Source organism: Homo sapiens, chromosome 9 (genome assembly GCF_000001405.40).
Source record: "Homo sapiens chromosome 9, GRCh38.p14 Primary Assembly".
In the NCBI taxonomy this organism is placed as follows: domain Eukaryota; kingdom Metazoa; phylum Chordata; class Mammalia; order Primates; family Hominidae; genus Homo; species Homo sapiens.
Genome location: NC_000009.12, coordinates 108886560 through 108907689, shown reverse-complemented (window position 1 = coordinate 108907689; position 21130 = coordinate 108886560). Strand labels below are relative to the sequence as shown.

The 21130-nt window shown below is 39.7% G+C and overlaps 1 protein-coding gene across 4 annotated transcripts in view; it reads left to right on the top strand.

Annotated features, from left to right (window-relative positions):
• ELP1 (elongator acetyltransferase complex subunit 1) overlaps nt 1–21130 on the top strand; it is a 66608-nt gene that overhangs the window by 26435 nt on the left and 19043 nt on the right. For 3 of the 4 annotated variants that reach the window (NM_001318360.2, NM_001330749.2, NM_003640.5), the window contains 16 exons: nt 1205–1387; nt 4021–4127; nt 4748–4851; nt 6009–6062; nt 6160–6265; nt 7315–7430; nt 7795–7868; nt 8941–9019; nt 9109–9188; nt 10405–10542; nt 10652–10737; nt 11046–11194; nt 13624–13747; nt 14607–14704; nt 16286–16487; nt 18297–18358. In NM_001318360.2, the coding sequence (NP_001305289.1) occupies nt 1205–1387; nt 4021–4127; nt 4748–4851; nt 6009–6062; nt 6160–6265; nt 7315–7430; nt 7795–7868; nt 8941–9019; nt 9109–9188; nt 10405–10542; nt 10652–10737; nt 11046–11194; nt 13624–13747; nt 14607–14704; nt 16286–16487; nt 18297–18358 (1762 nt within the window). Of the gene's footprint in view, nt 1–1204; nt 1388–4020; nt 4128–4747; nt 4852–6008; nt 6063–6159; nt 6266–7314; nt 7431–7794; nt 7869–8940; nt 9020–9108; nt 9189–10404; nt 10543–10651; nt 10800–11045; nt 11195–13623; nt 13748–14606; nt 14705–16285; nt 16488–18296; nt 18359–21130 lie in introns of those variants that run through there. The other variant, XM_047423991.1, reaches the window with a different exon arrangement.

Here is a 21130-nt window from a genome sequence, read left to right as displayed (position 1 = left end):
AGGTTAGGTAACTTACCCAAGGTCATGGACCTGGTAACTAGAGAATTTAGGGTTTGATTCTATTCTGTTTGATAAGTCCATGTTCTTCATTACTAAACTACTCTGCCTCCAGGGAACATTTATTGTTAGATTAATAGAAATAATTAACTGAGTACAACAAATAGCAGAATTTAATAAATAATGTTTCTTAAATATATGTGATATATTTAATAAATACAGCAGAAGTGTTCAACCTCTGTATGATTTTGAGGCTGCCTGTATAATGCTTAGTAGTTTTTAAAGAGCATTTACATGCATTATTTCACTTCATAGACTTGAAACCACTAGAGTAGAGATAGAGGACAAATTAGAAAGTATGAGGCAGTTTAGAATATAGTTTCATTTAAAAAAAATTGATGGGGATAATGCCAATTCGTCTGAGATTTCACAGAAGACATGAGTACTCATCGTGATCTTGGGGAAGGGATAGGTTTGGGGTTGGCAAAGAATTGGGAACATTGGGTCTGGTGGGGAAGAAAGTGTCAGTGAAAACCAGAGGTGGGACTGATCCTCCATGGGATACTCTATGTGAATGCAATGGAGAGCCTGAGTCCGGGGAGAGATGTTTGAGGAGGAAGATCAGGCTAGTGACCAACTTCTTCAGTGGGAGCTGCGGATTTGCCACCTGATCTAAAAGGCAGGAAGTAGCCATTGTCGGTTCCTACGTGAGGTGACAAGAACAGTGCGCTGGTCAGGTGTATAAATGCTACCAAAGAATGCATTAGAGACATGGAGACCATCTCTCAAGCTAGTCAGTCAGTTTAATGTGAGGTGCTTAGGAAAGGACCCATTCTACTGCAAGTGACATACCTGCCAGAGCCTGGTTTGAATGCTGGTAAGTCATGGCAGTGGAAAAGCTCTGGGGTTCATTAGTGTAGGGACTAGGGCTGGTAATTTTCTTGTGTAGTCAGTTTCCTCAAGTGTTCTCTTCAAATTTAAAGATTTCAGGGTATGAGAAATTTAGGGAAAATATAAAAACGTATTCTTAAGCCAGACAAAGATTAATTTTAGATTTTGTAGTATTTGGTAGTATCTCAGGTTTTGTCCCTCCAAATAATTAGGAGTGGACTGTATACAAGATGCTTCAGTCTTCCTTCATCCAGGAACGTCTCAGTGGTTTTTAAGTTTTATTCATGTCTTGGATATTCTTCAATATTTACAATAGAATCCAGTTTGAGAATAATGAAGATCAAGATGTAAACCCGCTGAAACTAGGCCTTCTCACTTGGATTGAAGAAGACGTCTTCCTGGCTGTAAGCCACAGTGAGTTCAGCCCCCGGTCTGTCATTCACCATTTGACTGCAGCTTCTTCTGAGATGGATGAAGAGCATGGACAGCTCAATGTCAGGTATTGCAGTTTTTCCCTGTACTCCACATGTTAAGCAAATGGAGTTAGGTTTTTGTCTTTTATGAGCATACAACTTTTGACTTCTATTGATCAAGGTTGAGGAGCAGTAGCTTTCTTGTTAGACACACTTAACAAGAAGGTTAAGTCTAGTTATGAGCCATGTCAAAATAACAGACCAAAAATATATCAAAAAGTGGTGAAAAATAGGATAAATATTAGTAGATGAAGCAACTTTTTAAAGATATGTTAAATATTTTAATTTAGCATCTACCCACATTTTTCCAGCGTGATTGTTATATGTTATAATTGATTTTAATAACTGTCAAGCATAATTAGAGTGGCTAATTCTCATGGGCTAATGTGATGGGAAGAAATTTTGTATAAATGCAGTCATGCGCATATATGTGTGTGTGTGTGTGTGTGTGTGTGTGTGTATACATACCTTTTCTATGTTTAGATACACAAATACTTGACATGGTATTACAATTGCCTGTAGTATTCTGTAAAGTAACATGCTGTCCAGGTTTGTAGCCTGGTAGCAATAGGCCATACCCCATAGGCTAGGGGTGTAGTAGGCTACACCACCTAGGTTTGTGTAAGTACTCTATGATGTTTGCACAATGATGAAATCACCTAACAACACATTTCTCAGACGTATCCCCATCGTTAAATGATGCATAATTGCACATATATGCTTTGTTTTGATGTGGTGACTTCAAAATGCTTCTTCCAGCCTCCTCTTCTATATATCCTATTTTGTACCTGACTACATTTACCATTAGAAAGTCTCTATTCTTCTTTGCTGAAATTTCACTGTTCTCTGGGCCTGAGTTTTGTTTTGATTCCTGACTATATCTTCATTATGTAACAGGTTTCAGTTAATGAATGCTCTTCTGTGTAATGTAAGCCCTGTTGTATAGTTGATAGCATTTTCTAGCCAGTTCCCAGAACTCCTTGTTTCCAGTGTCAATACTTGGCACCTTTGTCCACTGACACTAATCCCCAGATTAATTTGTAATTAAAGCCCTACTGGTGAGATTTCTGAGAAACGTTGTTGCAAAATTAGGAACCTTTCCTTTATATATATACATTACATAAATTTATAGACATAAAACATTTTAATGCAGTCATTTGCTGCTACTCTTTGACTCATAGTCTTTCGTGATATTTTGAAAAAGCCTTTTGTTAACATGTCTAAATGCAGAATATGTTCTAGAAATATGTAGCACTTAAAGTAAGCCATTAGATTACCTTTTGAAAAGCGGAGCAATTTACTAAGTTTCTACTTCTTCAGATTTGAAATTCTTCATCATTAGCTTGTAGAGGCAAAAGCTTGATGCAGTCATCTCATTTGCTGTAAAGGAAATGAGAAGTCATTTACAGTATATTTCTACTGCTTTGACTTTTATTTCTCAAAAAGACTGTTTTGTTCATATAAAATATTAATGCTTTTGAGGACTACAAAGTCCCTCGATTTAGTTTACATTTACTTTAGCTTATACTTTGTAAAAAATACTCTTCTAAATGCTTTGTCTGTTTTAGCTTACTTATTTCTCATAATACCTCTGTAAAGTATATGCCATTTGCACCATCATTTTACAGATGAGACAACTAAGACATGGAGCAGTTAGATAACTTGCCTGAGATCATGCAGGTGGAGCCAGGATCAAATCCCAGCGAGTCTAGCTCCAGAGTTTGTTCTCTTCTTGACAGATAATTTATCCTCACAAAATTTGAAGCATTTGTAGAGGAATTCCCTATTGTTATAATGTTTAGTTTTTTTGTAGATTGGTTAAAAACTTTGAATTAAATGTTAGCATTAACATCATTTGCTTTTATCACTACTTCTTTGTCTCTTTTTTCTTTTTTTAATCACTACCTCTTCCTCCTCTTTTGAGAAATTCTGCTTCCGTGGCTATGGTCCAAGCTACTTGAGAAGGTGAGGTGGGAGGATCACTTGAGCCTAGGAGGTTGAGATTGCGGTGAGCTGTGATTGTGTCAACTGCATTTCAACCTGGGCAACAGAGCAAGACACTGTCCAAAAAAAAAAAAAAAAATAGTGAAATTTTACTTCGCTCCATTGACTCAGGGAAAAAATGTAATGGTGATAACAAATTCCCTTCATCTCATTAGTGAAAATCCACAATTTTCCATCAATCGATATGATAGTGATAGAGATATTGAGTGTGCTCATTTTCCTACAGACCAGCTGCTTTAACTATTTTAAGCAGACAGAAATGATATTGGTACCATCCATGTCTAATGAAGGCAATACTTTGTAATAAGTTGCAGTAAGTTGTGGCCAGAAGAGGAATGATGACTTCACAGTGTAAACAACTACCTTATTGGGTTTGTGGAAAATGGTGTCATGTAGCAGATGTGGCTTTATCTGGGCTTTGGTTTGGAGTAGTTTTATCTATTCATCTAACCGTCTGTCTCTAAGTGTATAAGTGTGTGTGTGTGTGTGTGTGTGTGTGTATAGTATTGGGTGTGTATATATGTATTTTGTCTACATTGTATTGAAGTAGGTAGTGCAGCATCAAAAGGAAATTGTTGATTTTCAAAATCAGTGAAATGTCACTATTTTTGAGAAAAATGGTCTGTTTACACTCCCTTCTCCTTTTTTTTGTCAGTTCATCTGCAGCGGTGGATGGGGTCATAATCAGTCTATGTTGCAATTCCAAGACCAAGTCAGTAGTATTACAGCTGGCTGATGGCCAGATATTTAAGTACCTTTGGGGTGAGTATCAAGGTGTTAGGAAAGCATGTTATGACTTACATAGATGCTTAGTTCTTAAGAACATGTACTTGTATCTTGTCAGTTCAATATTGATTGTCAGGTCTTTTAACTACCCTGGAAAACCCTAAGCTTTAGAGTGGAATTGGCAAGTGTATTCTACTCCTGTTTCCTCTTTTAATGAACTAACGTACTCTTAAAAAAGTGATTGATGACTATCGCAGGGACAAAAAACCAAACACCGCATGTTCTCACTCATAGGTGGGAACTGAACAGTGAGAACACTTGGACACAGGAAGGAGAACATCACACACCTGGGCCTGTCGTGGGGTGGGGGAGGGTGGAGGGATAGCATTAGGAGATATACCTAATGTAAATGACAAGTTAATGGGTGCAGCACACCAACATGGCACATGTATACATATGTAACAAACCTGCACATTGTGCACATGTACCCTAGAACTTAAAGTATAATAAAAATATATATATAAATAAATAATGCCAGCATTAGAGAAAAAAAGTGATTGAAATTGCATGTTAAGTGTTTTAGCAAATGTTGATGTTGATGGTTTTTTGCAAAGAGCGCATCAGCTATTTGTGAACTAGATCTGTGAATCTTGCAGAGTCACCTTCTCTGGCTATTAAACCATGGAAGAACTCTGGTGGATTTCCTGTTCGGTTTCCTTATCCATGCACCCAGACCGAATTGGCCATGATTGGAGAAGAGGTAGGTGAACACGGAGCAGGAAATTTACTTAAAGTAGTTACCCAGGGACTGATGGCATTAAGTAGAAAGAGCGTGGGCTTTGGAGGTGGACTTGGGTCTCCACTAAATGCCTAGACAATAGTGGGAAATGATCTCACTTTCATAAGCCACACCTTATTCATCTATAAAATGGGAAAATCAGTATCTGTCTATCAGGGTTCAGAAGACTAAATGAGATAATATATGTGATTAGCAACCTTTTATCCCTAGTTGTACAAATCATTCAAAGTTAATTTTATTTAGGAGGGGAAACAGAAATGTGATCTTGAGAATAGTTTTAGTAGATTTTTATTCAACACATACTAGAATGCCTATAATTGTGGTGGATGGTAGAATGCAGTGGCTGGAAAACAAAACCGCTTGACTAATTCCTGCTCTTCTGGAACTTGTGATCTATTAATTTCAATGTAATGATTCCCTTTGTTGGGAGTGTGATGGAAATGGACAGAGTATACTGGTAGAGAATACTGAGATGTTTGAGGGGTAATTTGAGGATGGTGGCTATGAGAATGGGAGTCCTGCATCTGGTGGTCCAGGAAGGCCTCTCGGAGGCAGTGATGTGTGTGCTGAGATGTGAAGAAAAAGAAGGCTCTGTCTCCAGGCAGAAGGAACAACAAACTCCTTGAGCTTAGCAAGAGCTCATCTTATTCAAGGGACTGGATGGAAGTATTGTGGCTGGAGCTCAGTGACAGTCATAGGAGGGAATTTGGGTTCTTTAATTGAACAAAGATTAGAAACTTCTTGTGATTTTTAATAACAGAGTAATGTGTTCTGCTTCATGGTTTGGACAGTGATTCTGGCTGCCCAGAAGAGACTTGATTGGAGAGTGACGAGACTGGAATATGGGATCAACACCGGTTGAGTGGAGTTAGTGAGGGGAAAAAGGAGATGGGTTTGAGATATGTGTAGGAGATGGAGATGTCAGGGCTCACTGATGGATTGGATGGCTTCACATTCCATTTTGCACTGGACCAGCCACGTCTTAGGTATCTATCTTTAGTCCTGATTACAGGAACTTAGGTGTGAAATCATAGGGTGGTAGAACTATGTGATAGAAAAGGTAGGTTTAACTGATTTGAGATAGAATTGCTTGTGATTTCAGTTTTATTTCTTTGCAGGAATGTGTCCTTGGTCTGACTGACAGGTGTCGCTTTTTCATCAATGACATTGAGGTATCAAGGCTTGGTTTGGTGTTGGATCCTTTTCACAGTGTTAGCTCCGAGTAATCTAGCTAGCTTTCACCCATGCCTCTCTGGCCTTCTCTTGCAGGTTGCGTCAAATATCACGTCATTTGCAGTATATGATGAGTTTTTATTGTTGACAACCCATTCCCATACCTGCCAGTGTTTTTGCCTGAGGGATGCTTCATTTAAAAGTAAGTTTTCAATGTATAAAACAGAAATGGTCCCTTCTCCAATGTCTTTTGGAGTCTTGATGACTTTTTGAATTCTTCATTTATTTTGGCTTTTTATCAAGGAGTCCTAGGCTGGAGAAAATCTTTAGAGTTATTTTACTTAGACCCTAATCTCAACATAATATCTCAGTTAAATCATTCTGCACTTTAGTAAAGACATCCAAGGAAGGGAGTTCCTTCCTTAAGCAGCACATTCTAAAGTTAAAAACTTTTCAGGAAATTTTATTATGTAACTGATCTAATATTTTATTTGGAATTACTATGTAGATCCCCAATGTTTTACCTTCTGTGTAGTCTTTTCCCACTGTGCCCACCCTCCACTGTACATCTGCGCTCCATCTAGTGGTTTGTAGGATATTGGCTGCATTTTGTCTTCTGTTCCATGCCCTATCTATCTCTGTGTGTGTGGCGTGTATGTGTGTGTGGCGTGTATGTGTGTGTGGCGTGTATGTGTGTGTGGCGTGTATGTGTGTGTGGCGTGTATGTGTGTGTGGCGTGTATGTGTGTGTGGCGTGTATGTGTGTGTGGCGTGTATGTGTGTGTGGCGTGTATGTGTGTGTGGCGTGTATGTGTGTGTGGCGTGTATGTGTGTGTGGCGTGTATGTGTGTGTGGCGTGTATGTGTGTGTGTGTTCCTTATTCTAAAAAGCCAACTTATTTTCTTTGCTTCCAACTTGGAAATAGGGAATCTTTCTTTCATTGATATGATTATAGTACACTGATAATGCTAAGAAATAGAGAAGTTGCCCCAATTCTTAACTGTGTTTCTCCACATCATTTGAGAAGCTGTGTATGTGAATGTGCATGAGGGCTCTGTAAGAGAGAGGGCAAGTTCCAGGGATGAGCGTGTTCATCAGCAGGGCTGATAGTCTTGAGGTTCAGTGGGAGAGCTAAGGCACATGGTTGTTATTTGTTCTCTTCTATTTCACATAATGTGTGCGGTTTCAATTGCAGTTAATGGAGAGTGGCTTGTTGTGATAATTAAGGCTTATTAGTTAATGGTGTGTTTAGCATTACAGGCCGGCCTGAGCAGCAATCATGTGTCCCATGGGGAAGTTCTGCGGAAAGTGGAGAGGGGTTCACGGATTGTCACTGTTGTGCCCCAGGACACAAAGCTTGTATTACAGGTAAGCTGGTTTTTCAGACAAGATAGATAGTCTGATTGTCATTCAGCCAAGTACCAAGCATAATTCTTGCAGGTTGTATTTTAGGCTTTCTTATTCTTTGTATCGTTTATTGTAAACCTTTCCTTGATAGTTTTCTGTTAGCTTTATTCAAAGGAGTGTTGATACAGGCTGTGACCATAAGGCTCAAAGCGAAACTTTTCTTGAAAGTCAAGATAAATATAGAGAACAACAAGATTCTGCTAAAAGTGTGCTGATTTTAGAGAGTTGTGGTAATTCTCTGTGAAGAGTTAGGTAAAATGGTGTATCCTGGCTATTTAAATGTTTTCTACTTAATTAAAAATGTTACTGCTTTAATTTATTTAAGATGCCAAGGGGAAACTTAGAAGTTGTTCATCATCGAGCCCTGGTTTTAGCTCAGATTCGGAAGTGGTTGGACAAGTAAGTGCCATTGTACTGTTTGCGACTAGTTAGCTTGTGATTTATGTGTGAAGACAATAAGTATTTTATTACAATTTCGAGAACTTAAAATTATGAAAAGCCCTCATTACCTATATCATCAATCAGATTCTTAGAGGCTCTTTTTTTTTTTTTTAACTTTTTTACTTTAATGCAGTATTTTGTAGTGGAGATTCCTAGCAGAAAGAATCGTGACACTCATCATATAAAGGAGGGCTTCTCTTAACCTGAGGGAACACATGTGGGTTTTAGGTGGCCTGTGAACCCAGGGAGATTGTACACACCAAACCTTGTCTTTGTGTATTTATTCAAGTAGAAAGCCCACAGCTTTCAATAGATTTACAGCGGGGCCTATGACCCAGAAAAGCCTGAGCTACTCTTGTGAAGGAAATGACTGATTTTCTGAACCTATTTGGAGGAAACTTTGTATTGGAAAGATCTATACTAATGTTTTGTTTAAAAAGTAGACCTGAATTCCATGATGATTTTCTTTGTTTTTTTTTTGAGACAGAGTCTTGCTCTGTCACCCAGGCTGGAGTACAGTGGCGCAATCTCGGCTTACTGCAACCTCTGCCTTCTGGGTTCAAGCAATCCTCCCACTTCAGCCTCCCGCATAGCTAGGATTACAGGTGTGCACCACGCCTGGCTAATTTTTTTTTTTGTATTTTCAGTAGAGACAGGGTTTCACCATGTTGGCCAGGCTGGTCTCAAACTCCTGACCTCAAGTGTTCTGCCCACCTCGGCCTCCCAAAGTGCTAGGATTACAGGTGTGAACCACCGTGCCCGGGCTTCTGTAATGATTTTCTGTTGTATGTATGTGAAGATGTAGTTCTCAGACAGTCATGATGACTAAATTACACCTTTTAAGAAGGTAAATGAATGTGGTACCTGATTTTTTTATTCTGTAATTTCAGAGTAGAAATCCAGTGATAGCAGCTTGGCATTGGGGCTGTAATCTGATTATAACTGGTTTGTATCATAATGAAAATATGCTGGGCCCATGGAGCTCAGTTTTTGTGAATATCTTTTCTATTCTTTCTCTGTCTTCTCACAGACTTATGTTTAAAGAGGCATTTGAATGCATGAGAAAGCTGAGAATCAATCTCAATCTGATTTATGATCATAACCCTAAGGTAACTTTCTAAGCTGTCATTTACTCTAGCTTACTTTGTACTTAAACTAATATGATCTGAACGAAGATGTTTTGTCCTTTTTTTGGTAGGTGTTTCTTGGAAATGTGGAAACCTTCATTAAACAGATAGATTCTGTGAATCATATTAACTTGTTTTTTACAGAATTGAAGTAAGTATTTTGAATAATTCATGTGTATCTTTTCCATAGTTTTCTCTCTTCTTGTTAAGGAAATCAAGCATAAATAGCTAGAGAAGAAAAATTCCTTACTGTTCATTTTTAAAAATTGCTATAACTCTTAGATGCCAGTTGGTTTTTTGCTCTTTTCCGTTCTTTTTAAAACAGCCTGTTTAAAACTATGTCCTTAAAACATGTCATTCAGAATTATTATTTCACTTGATTTTTAGGTATACATATAAAACTACTTGTTTTTCCTAGGAGACTGAAATCAAATGGCATCTTTCTCTCTGATGATCTTTCCCCTCAACTTTTTAATGAAACACTTTCAAAATAGAGAAAAGTTGAGAGAATTGTCCAGTAAGCAACCTATATATACCCCACCTGGATTCGCCAGTTTATATTTTTCTGTATACACATTCTCATTCTCTATAATCTGTCCATCCATCATTCATCTTGTTTGTAGACAAATTGCTAAGTGAGTTGTAGACATCAGTCCACTCTACCACCTGTACTTCTCCTTGTATATCATTAACTAGAGGGCATTCTTTGTGTATGGGTTGGTTTTGTTGTGTTTTTTCAGGTCATATTTATCTACAGTGAAATGTCCAAATCTTAAGTGTGCCACTTAGTGAGTTTTGGCAAATGTACACTTCATGTAACCTGAACCTCTGTCAAGTTAGAGGGCATTTACTCCTTTTCAGAAAGCTGCTTCAGATTCCTTTCAATCAGTCCCTGTCCCATTCCCCAGGCAACTACTCTTCTGAATTTTTTACCATAAATCAGTTTTGCCTGTTCAAGAACTTCACCTAAATGGAAGCATACAGTATTACTCTTCTGCATAAAGCTGTTTTCATTCAGCATATTGTCTTGAGATTCATCTGTGTTTTTATATGTATCACTAGTTCATTCTTTTTTTATTGGTCAGTAGTATGCCGTTGTGTAAATACACCACTATTTGCTTATTCATTCCCCTGTTGCTGGACATGTGGATTGTACTACCCTGTTTGGGGCTAATGTGACTAAAACATCTACAAACATTTGTATAAGTCTTTTGTGGACATGTTTTATTTCTCAATATTTTTATAATTCAACTCTTTTCCAAAAGTCATTTTTATTTATCATCATCAGCATGCCAGGTGTATGTTAGTAATTTGATCGCTGGGCTACATGTTCTGTTGATGACCATTCCATACACACCTGTTCTTAGAGAAGAAGATGTCACGAAGACCATGTACCCTGCACCAGTTACCAGCAGTGTCTACCTGTCCAGGGATCCTGACGGGAATAAAATAGACCTTGTCTGCGATGCTATGAGAGCAGTCATGGAGAGCATAAATCCTCATAAGTATGTATGCTGTCACCAGGTGGCATCCTTTGAAAAACCGAAGTGTGTAGTTGTCCTTGTCCAGCCTACTTACCTTTCTCATTCTGGTGTTCTTCACTTATTACCTCAGATACTGCCTATCCATACTTACATCTCATGTAAAGAAGACAACCCCAGAACTGGAAATTGTACTGCAAAAAGTACACGAGCTTCAAGGTAGAGATCCGCTCACAGAGAAAGTGCTTAAGGTGGCCGTGACTGCTACTAGTCTTCTGCAGGTGACAATCACCATGTCATTGCCACACCACAGATTTAACATGTGACTTTTTAGTTGCCATTTTAAGACCCTTGTCAGTTTTTTTCAGTGCTGCCCTCTAAAGCATATATAAAAGTATCAGAAGTATATATTCTTCTGATGTCCAGTTCTATTGAGAAAAATTTATTGTCTTTTTGGTTATGTTGTTAGGTCTGTGGATTTTTTCCCCAAATGATTGTGTTCTGTTTTGTTTTCTAAACACTGTTAGGAAATGCTCCCTCTGATCCTGATGCTGTGAGTGCTGAAGAGGCCTTGAAATATTTGCTGCATCTGGTAGATGTTAATGAATTATATGATCATTCTCTTGGCACCTATGACTTTGATTTGGTCCTCATGGTAGCTGAGAAGTCACAGAAGGTATGTGGAGTTCTTACTTTTATGCCATTTGGTTCTTGTTTATATAATGATAGTGTGAAACCCTGCTTCTGGTAGTGCAGTAGCTTTTCTGCTATCACTCTGTGAGTGCAGGGCTGGAGACAGATCTGTGAGTTTCTAGGGCCCACATTCCTAAGCCCCTGTGCTTATGAAAGTGTTTTGATTGTGAGGTTGAAGAAGTGAAGTAAAATTGCATGGCTTTTTTTTGTTTCTTTTTTTTTGAGACGGAGTCTCACTCAGTCGCCCAGGCTGGAGTGCAGTGGTGCGATCTCGGCTTACTGCAAGTTCCACCTCCCGTGTTCACGCCATTCTCCTGCCTCAGCCTCTCTAGTAGCTGGGACTACAGGTGCCCATCACCACGCCCGGCTAATTTTTTGTATTTTTAGTAGAGACAGGGTTTCACTGTGTTAGCCAGGATGGTCTCCATCTCCTGACCTCGTGATCCGCCTACCTCAGTCTCCCAAAGTGCTGGAATTACAGGTGTGGGCCACCATGTGCGGCCTAAAATTACATGGTTATTTTTAAGATGATGGGCATATGTGTGAGCTAATTTCTTCTCTTATAAAGGAAATGTAACAAGTGGTTCATGTTCCACTCCGGTTCTTTCTCACATGGCTCTTTTTTCTAGTGGAGGGTGGGCACATGGAGCACAGAAGGCTCATGGCCTCCTTTCCTATGTTGGTACATTTGCTATGATCAAAAACTTTGAACACCACTGGTATGCATATTTTTTATTTATTTTTTTGCAGCCTCAGTCTCTTCCCCATGACCTCTCCAAAAATGAAAATCGGATCCTTCATCTCTCTGCTTAAAATACTTCATGAGCTCCCATTGTTCCGAGGATATAATTCAGAAGCCATAATACTGCTTAAAAACCCTTCCTTGACCTGGCCTCTGTGTATCTTTCCATTCTCACTTCTTGGTATTGTCTTTTTTTCCTCTGCCCATGGAGGAAAGACAATGCTTTTGTCCCCCTTCCCTTGCCCCTCACCACCACATGCCTTGGTGGGCAGCATTACTTCTGCCATCCATGGGCTTTGACTGCTTCCACCCTCACCATTCCCCTGGCTAATTCTCACTAATCTAGGTTAAAGGATGCCAAGGTGGCCTCTTCCCAGTAAGCCATTCATGCTTCCCTCCAGGGACTGGGTGAGGTGACCCTCCTATATGCTTCTGTTGCACACAGTGCCTACCCCTGCAGACTACAGTGTGTCTTTATCTAGAGTGCGGTATTTATTTATTTATTTTTGAGACAAGGTCGGGCTCTATCACCCGGGCTGGAGTGCAGTGGCACCATCTTGGCTCACTGCAACCTACGCCTCCTAGGCTCAAGCAATCTCACCTCAGCTTACAGGCGTGCACCACCATGCCCGGCTAAGTTTTGAATTTTTTTTGTTGAGACGGGGTTTCGCCATGTTGCCCAGGCTGGTCTCAAACTTGTGAGCTGAAGCAATCCATCTGCCTCGGCCTCCCAGAGTGCTGGGAATGAGCACTTAATTATTTGTTGTCTTGGGTTTTCTTCCTATGTTGTTCTTACATGTATTTATCCTGTCAGCCCAGGGAAATTGCATTAAAAACAGGAAACACCTCTCCATTAGGAAGAAAAACAATTTGCTTACAGGGCATGGCATAGAGCTGGAGATGATAGTGCCAATAAATACTAGGTTGGCAGGGTCTCAGAGTTTTGTGTCCAACTCAGTATAATTTTATGTTTGTTTTAATGTGATCATTTCAGGAGAGCATGGAATGTCATGAAAACAGCACCAAGAGCAATGTCTTAGACTTTTAGGAGAAACTTAGATGCATTTGTTGAATATCTTCTAGACTGAAACCTTATTTCCCTTATTAGCCTATGAAATAAATGATACTGTGAGACTTAGTTAAGGAAGTTACTATTATTCCAAGTGTAACTTATTAATATCCGTATGTGAAAGCATTTTTGCCAAAGCTTGTTTGATGTTCAGCTGACCCTTGCACAACGTGAGTTTCAACTGTGCGAGTTTGAACTGTGTGGGTTTATCTAAATGTGGATCTCTCTCAAACACAGTTGGCCCTTTGTGTCCACGGCTTCTGCATCCACAATCAGTGTGGATCAAAAGTACAATATTTGCAGGATTTGAAACTTGCAGATACAGAGGGCCAACATTTTGTGTATCCAGGCTCCATGGGGTCAAATGTAGGACTGGGGTATGCTTGGATTTTGGTATCCTTGGGGTGTCCTGGAACCAATTCCCCATAGATACTGGGGGACAACTGTAGTTTGATTTTATATATTATATAATATGCAGTTAATATATAATACACATTTAAAAATTATGTAGCTTTGGGTTTATTGCTATATGTAAATGCTAGTTTCTATTCCTATATATGAATATCACAAGTAATAAAGTTCTCATTAATCATTTTTTTAGGATCCCAAAGAATATCTTCCATTTCTTAATACACTTAAGAAAATGGAAACTAATTATCAGCGGTTTACTATAGACAAATACTTGAAACGATATGAAAAAGCCATTGGCCACCTCAGCAAATGTGGTAAGTGTGGGGATTAGTATGTTTATCTCTACTTCAGATCTTCTTTGGAACTAGGCAAGGTATAAATTAAACTGTTAGTTTAGACAGTGACTGATTTCACTTCCCACTCCTGAAAACTCTAACAATTATGTATGCTCACGTTATTTTGTCCTGTGTTCTGAAAAGCTGAAGGTAATCACTTTTAATGAACTGGAGGAGCTCCCTAGGTAAGAACGTCAAGTAGATCCTTTTTTGGTTAAGAATGAGCACCTGTGAAGTTAACTTCAGTGTCTCAGAATCAAAATTGGTTGTCAGTTCTTCCTTCTCATGCTGTTTGCAGACATGTCAGGGAAACTCTGCTTGTCTGGAGAGAGTGATGAGGCCACCTCCCCGTGCCCTGCAAGACGCAGTTTTAATTGACAGTGATGGGGTGCCAGTTGTTCTTCCCATGCTGGAACAGTTGTGATTCTTTACTGAGGACTGATGGGGGAAAGGAAGAATCACCTGGGGTGCATGTTAAGCCTTCAGCTGCTGGCATCCTTGGAGAATCTGATTCAGGTGGTCTGGGATAGGACTGAGGCGTGCATGTGTCTAATAAGCTTCCCAGGTGATGTCTTTTCAAGGAGGCTGAGAAAACACTGGGCTGGAAAGCTGGGACTCTTAAGTAGGATGCTGATCCCAATCAGTGCTGCTCTTGCCTCAGAATCTGCAGTGGTGCTCATTAAAAATTCAAATTCCAGGATCCCATTCTTCAGATTCTCTGATTATTTAGGTCTTAAAAAGTTCCTCATTTATTTTGTTTGGTGACCATTGGTATAAATGAAGTCCATTATGCTTCCCATGTCTTAAGCCTGTCTTTGTGTGAATCTTTTTCCTGCAGGACCTGAGTACTTCCCAGAATGCTTAAACTTGATAAAAGATAAAAACTTGTATAACGAAGCTCTGAAGTTATATTCACCAAGCTCACAACAGTACCAGGTATGTGGTATGTGAAAATGAGGCTCTCCTGGTTTTGCTTTTTGCTTTAGTAGGAAAGGAGTGAGGATCCTAAGTTCATAACACCATCCTTGGCTTCAAAATTTATCTTAAAACTAATTAGCCTCAATTTGAACTTCTTATCTGGGAGAATGGTCCTGACCTGTTCTCTGATTCCTCATCTGGAATACCACAGCACCTTCCTCGTGGGGTTCCCTGCTTCTTTCCCACCCCTCCTCTAGCCCAACCTTACTGCTGTAAGTCTGATTATCCTAACAAGTACAGATCTTTCCCATATATTTCAGCATAAAGGGAAATTTTTGTTTGCTTGAAAAAGCATCCCTTTAGCTTTTTTTATATACCACACACTTTGCTTCTAAGTTAAATGTGTTATATGATCCTCTTAACAGCCTCATAGGGTGCTGTACACAATTTGTAGATGAGGAAGCAACTTGCCTGAGGATCCAGAGCTACAAAGTGCTGGACCTGGGATACAGAGCCCAGGCTGCCTGACCACCCTGCCCATGCCATTAACCACCACTCTACCATGCCACCAGCATCACCATTTTCAGTTTGTCCTCAGACAATATACACATCTTTCTTTGATCAAGCCCCTGCCAGCTTCTTTAGCACCAGCTTCTGCCACTGTCCACATTCCCAGTTACTTGTAGGTAGTTCTACAGATGTCACATCGTGTGATTCCTCTGTCATTTCTCTACCCACCAGCCTTCCTTTAGCCCCATTTGTCCATCAGAACCCTTGGGTTACTCCTGAATGCCATTCCTGGACCAGGCGCCAAACACTGAGCCCCCAGAGCAGCCTGCCCTCGCCTTGGTGATTGCATTTGTCAAACTGCTGATTAGCTGGTTTGTCGCCTCCACCAGGCTGTGGGCTCCTTAAGGGCAGGGACTCCATGTTGTATTCCTCTCTGAATCTCTGGCTAACATCCAGCCTGGAGAATCGAGGATTTGGCCAGTGGCTACCTCTTTGCCCTTGTTTTCTGTTCTCTTCCACACTCTCTCTGCTCTAGTCACACTGGCCGTCCTGTTACTCCTCAGACCTGCTATACACATTCCTGCTGCATGGCCATGGTGCCTTCTCTGCCCTCTGCCTGGTGCCCCCTATCTCATCACGTGGTTTATTCTCCTGACAGCCATTAGAGCTCACACTCCCTGAGAGCTGCAAGGAGACTGTCCTCTGTCCCTTTACTCACGTTTGCCATTATGCTATAGACTATATTTTGTCCCTAAGTCCATCCTCTGTTACTATAAGAGCAGCAACTTGGTGGTGGTTCTTATATGGTTTTTCATTTGTTTGGTTTTATTTTTTGCCTTGCTGTAGTATCCATACTGCCCAGAATGGTGCATATGTAGTTAAGAGTAATTATTTGTTGAGTGAATAAATGGCACATCCTCAGTAAGGTTTTGAATGAAAAAATGACTGTACTAACTGATCAACTGTAAGATTTTCCCAGGTAATTCTTTCAAGGGAGTTCCAAGTATAGGAACTAAGGCAGCTACACTGGAGCTTTAGAGAAATGATTGTCATATTTCCTCCTCAGTCCTAAATCTCCTCTTGTCACAGGATATCAGCATTGCTTATGGGGAGCACCTGATGCAGGAGCACATGTATGAGCCAGCGGGGCTCATGTTTGCCCGTTGCGGTGCCCACGAGAAAGCTCTCTCAGCCTTTCTGACATGTGGCAACTGGAAGCAAGCCCTCTGTGTGGCAGCCCAGCTTAACTTTACCAAAGACCAGCTGGTGGGCCTCGGCAGAACTCTGGCAGGTAAGTACAATCATTTATATGTTTACATCTACAAAGGTTTTAAAAAATTTATTTCTTTTGTTTGGTAATTTTGCAAATAAATTTAGGGCAGAATACTCTGAGACAGTCTTGTTCTCACTGATAAAAATTAATTTAGAATGCTTTAAAGGATAAGCTACTACAGCAAGAGTCCCAGAATGCAGTGGCCCAATATGGAAAGAAGTTTATTTCTCTCTCCCATAGGGATTTATAGGCCCTTCCGTTGTGTGGCTCTGCAACCTTTTAGGCAGATGGTTGTAGCTGGGTTATCTCCACAGCTGTGGGGAAGGAAGGAGAGTGGGGAGAAGTTAGAATCATGGTAAAACATTTACCTTTAAGTTGGAAATGACCTGGATGGAAGTTAAACTATCACCTTCTATTCCATCTCGGCCACGCCATGTAGCTGGATGGGCTGTGCCCTGTAAGAAGGTAAAGATGAATTTTTGGATGGGTCCATTCTGTTATAGACAGTAGGTTGTTGGAATAGCCAGGAATGAGGTGGGGAAAATAAAAGGCCAAATGTCGAAGCATTCTGAAAGCAAAGGCAGTTTAGCTGCGTCAGGGACAAGGGTTGCCCGAACCAGAGGCGAGGCTGGTACCAGGGGCTCTAGTACCAGAGTGGAGGAAAGGGTAAGGACACCTATGAAAAGAGATGAGCAGAAGCTCTGGTCATCTCAGCAGTGCTTGAAGTAAAGCAATGACTGGTATATTTTTTTCCCTAACTTGTAAATATTGTTGAGATCTCAAAGAAAAAAATAAAAAGCAGTCCTAAAAAAATTCCAAACTCTATCCTGTTAAATTTTGTTAAATTTATGTACCAGTCCTTCTTTGTCATTTGCAGTATTCTTTTTTTCTTGGGATTATACCAGTGTATGGGATTATCACTTTTCTTTTTCTGGTTATTAGCCTTTCCCAAATCCCTCCGTTTCCATGCTGGCCTCTTTTTACAAATGTCGAGAATTCCTTATTTCAGGCCTTTTAGTTATTCGTTCGGTCTCCATTGTTCCTTTCTGCTTTAGAAATTTATGATATTGGTTGTTTATACCTTCTATCTCTGTTCTTGGATCTCTTCTATTCTTTACAGCTCTTAGCTTGCTATTTCCCATGTCTTATGAGGGAGTATTTCTAGTTTTTCTCAGATGTTTAGCAAAAGTAGGTGGGGAGGGCAGTGGTCAAAGATGTTTGAGAAATGTTACACACTGGAGTCACTCTGTGTGTACATTTAACGTAGGCAGTTTACACAAGAGAGCAAAAGAAAGGTAACTATTTAAATAGTGGAGGTGATTTTACCTACTTTTTTTAGTGATATATGCACTGGAGTGAGCATGCAATGAGAGACCGGAATCTACCAGCTCCTTCGAAAGCCTTGGGTTCTCTGTGCCTCTCATTGTGGTTTATCTCAATTGGGCTGAGAGTGATTCTAGGATCTAAAGACACTGCATGACTCAAACATAAGTCAGCTACCTCCATCTAGTGCTCAACCAAAGAAATAGTGGTCTCTTACTGTTAAGGGACGAAGTGGTTTAGTGAGAGATACCAGGTCATTTTCCCATATACATGCTTTGGAAGCATCTTTCAAGGCTAATTTTGGCTGTATATGATTTTCAATTCCTGTGCTAAATTTAGATTCTAGCTGCCATTTAAGATAGGACTCTGTGGTGTATATACCTATTCCCTCACAGAAATTCAGAAAGTACATAGTTTCATACATAATAAAGACATATTAAAGAAGCACTTGAGCTAAAGTATCTGTTTAACTTTGTAGTCAACTGCTGCTTATTGTCTCTACAGGAAAGCTGGTTGAGCAGAGGAAGCACATTGATGCGGCCATGGTTTTGGAAGAGTGTGCCCAGGTAAACTCAATTCCTCCCTTCTAAACCCCCCAGTCAGCAAGAAAGGTCTTCTCAATTGTATCTTAGTGATCATGAAAGTTAAAGGAACTGTGCATAATTGTTAAGTCCAGAGATAGTGTTTGCCCCAGAGGTCTTATCTTGCTGGCTTGACTTGGAAATCTAAATTTAGTACATCTCTAAGTTTGGTGAGGTAGAATATGAAGGTGCTCTACTTTAACATACCACTGGTTTGACCTTGGTAGAAAGTACTTAATTACATCTCAAGGTAGCTGTGCTTTTTAAAATTGAGTTTGCCAAAGTAGAAACAATGAGAAAGGACCATTATAAAACAGGATCATTGAAGGCTACATACTCTTGGCTTTTACTCTCATTCTCCCTATTGGAAATGTCTCTTTTACCTCAGGGACCTGGAGGTACAGCAGATTATAAGGATAAGTACCCATATGAGCATTTGGTAGTATTATAGGATTTATTATGAAAATAATAAAACTGCAGTAACACTGGCCACAGACTAACAGTACACAGGTGCACAGTTGACACCAGGGATTATTGCCTTGTAGAGTTTTGACCTTTGATGAGAGAGTGTTTTTTACAGTTGTTACTGATAGCACATTTATGTAACTTAATTGTGCTTTAAAAATATTTAATTGTCTCTTGTGTAATAACAGTAAGTGAAAGACGATAACTAAAATTTTATATAATTAGATCCTGGAGAGAATATTTGTTGGGTGATTGAATTGAAAATACCAGTGAATGAAACATACCTAAAAGGGTAGATAGGTTGGGTTGGAAAGATATACCACATCGAGGGTTAATTAAATGGATAAGATGTCATTATCTTTTTTTCTTTGTAAAGGAAGATTAATGCATAAAATTATTTTGTGTAATTTACATACAATAAAATTATGTGTTGTACAGTTGTATAATTTACATATAATAAAGCTAATTCACCAATTTTAGATGAAGAATTCAGTACATTTGGACATATGTTTGTAGCTGTGTAACCACCATTGCACTCATGATCTAGAACATTTCTAACACCCCCAAAAGTTCCCTACTTCCCCTTTTGCAGTCAGCCTTCTCCCTCCACTGCCAGCCTTTGGCAAACTGATCAGTCAGTAAAGTTTCACATTATCTAGAATTTCATATAAACAGAACCATATGGTATGTAGTCTTTTTAATCTGGCTCCTTTCACTCACATAGTGCATTGGAGATGCATCCATGTTGTAGTTTATTCCTTTGTATTGCTGAATAGTATCCCATTATATGTATATGTCAGAATTTGTTGATTTACCAGTTGATGTACATTTGGATTGTTTTCAGTTTGGGGTTATTATGAATAACGCAGCCATGAACATTCTAGTGCAGGTCTTTATGGGGACAGGAGTAGGAATGCCACATCCCGTGGTAAGTGGATGTTTAACTTTTTAGGAAGCTGCAGAACTAATCTGCAGTGGCCGTATCATTTTGCATTCCCCTCAGTGATATGTGAGAGTGCTTCAGTGACTCCTATACTCACCAACACTGGGTGTATTACTGTGACACTAGATGTATTATCTATTGCTACGTAACAACTTACCTTAAAAGCTGGCAGCTTAAAACAACAGACCCTATTATCCCACTTTTTCAATGGGCCAAGAATCTTGGCTGGGCTTAGCTGGGGCCTCTGGCTCAGGGTCCTTTACAAGGCTGCAATTAAGGTATTGGCCAGGGCTAGAGTCATCTCAAGGCTTGACTAGTTTTTAATTTCATTTTCTAATGTTTTATTACTAGTATATAGAAATATAGCTGAAGTGTTTTGCAGGGAGGCTGTATAATTGACCTTGTATCCTGCAACCTTGCTAAACTCATTTATTAGTTCTAGAAGCTCTTGGGTGTATTCTCTAGGATTTTCTACATCAACAAACATGGTTTCTATAAATATAGTTTTATGTCTTTCTTACAATCAATACTTTTTTCTATCTGTATTGCATTTTCTAGGGCTTCCAGTGTGGTGTTGAATAGAAGTGTTAAGAGTGAACATCCTTGCCTTTTTCCTGATATTGGAGAAAATTCACTTGTCTTTTAGCATTAAGTGTCATGTTTGCTTTTTTAAAATTTTATTCTATATTATTTTATTTTTGAGACAGAGTCTTGCTCTGTCACCCAGGCTGGAGTGCAGTGGTGTGATCTCAGCTCACTACAACCTTGACCTCCTAGGCTCAAGCGATCCTCCCACCTCAGCCTCCTGAGTAGCTGGGACTGCAGGAACATGCCACCATGCCTGGCTAATTTTTGTATTTTTTGTAGGGATGGGGTTTTGCCATGTTGCCCAGGCTGGTCTTGAACTGTTGGATTCAAGCAATTCGCCTGTCTCAGCCTCCCAAAGTGCTGGGATTACAGGCATGAGCCTCCGTGCCTGGCCTGATATTTGCTTTTTTTTTTTTTTTTAATGCTCTCTATTGCAGAGTTGGCAAACTACAACCTGTGACAAATCCAGCATGCCACCTGTTTTTGTAAATAAAGCTTTATTGGAGCATAGCCATGCTCATTAGTTTACATCTTGTGTATGGCTGCTTTAACACTACAGCAGCAGAGTTAGAGTTGTGACACAGATAGTTTGGCCCATAAGGCCTATATTTACTGTCTAATCTTTTACAGGAAAAATTTGCCAATTCCTGCCCTCTTGGTTTGAGGAAATTCCCTTCTGTTCCTTGTTCTGAGAGTTTGTATCATGAATGGGTGTTAAATTTTGTCAAATGCATTTTCAACTATGAAGGGTTTTGTTTTTA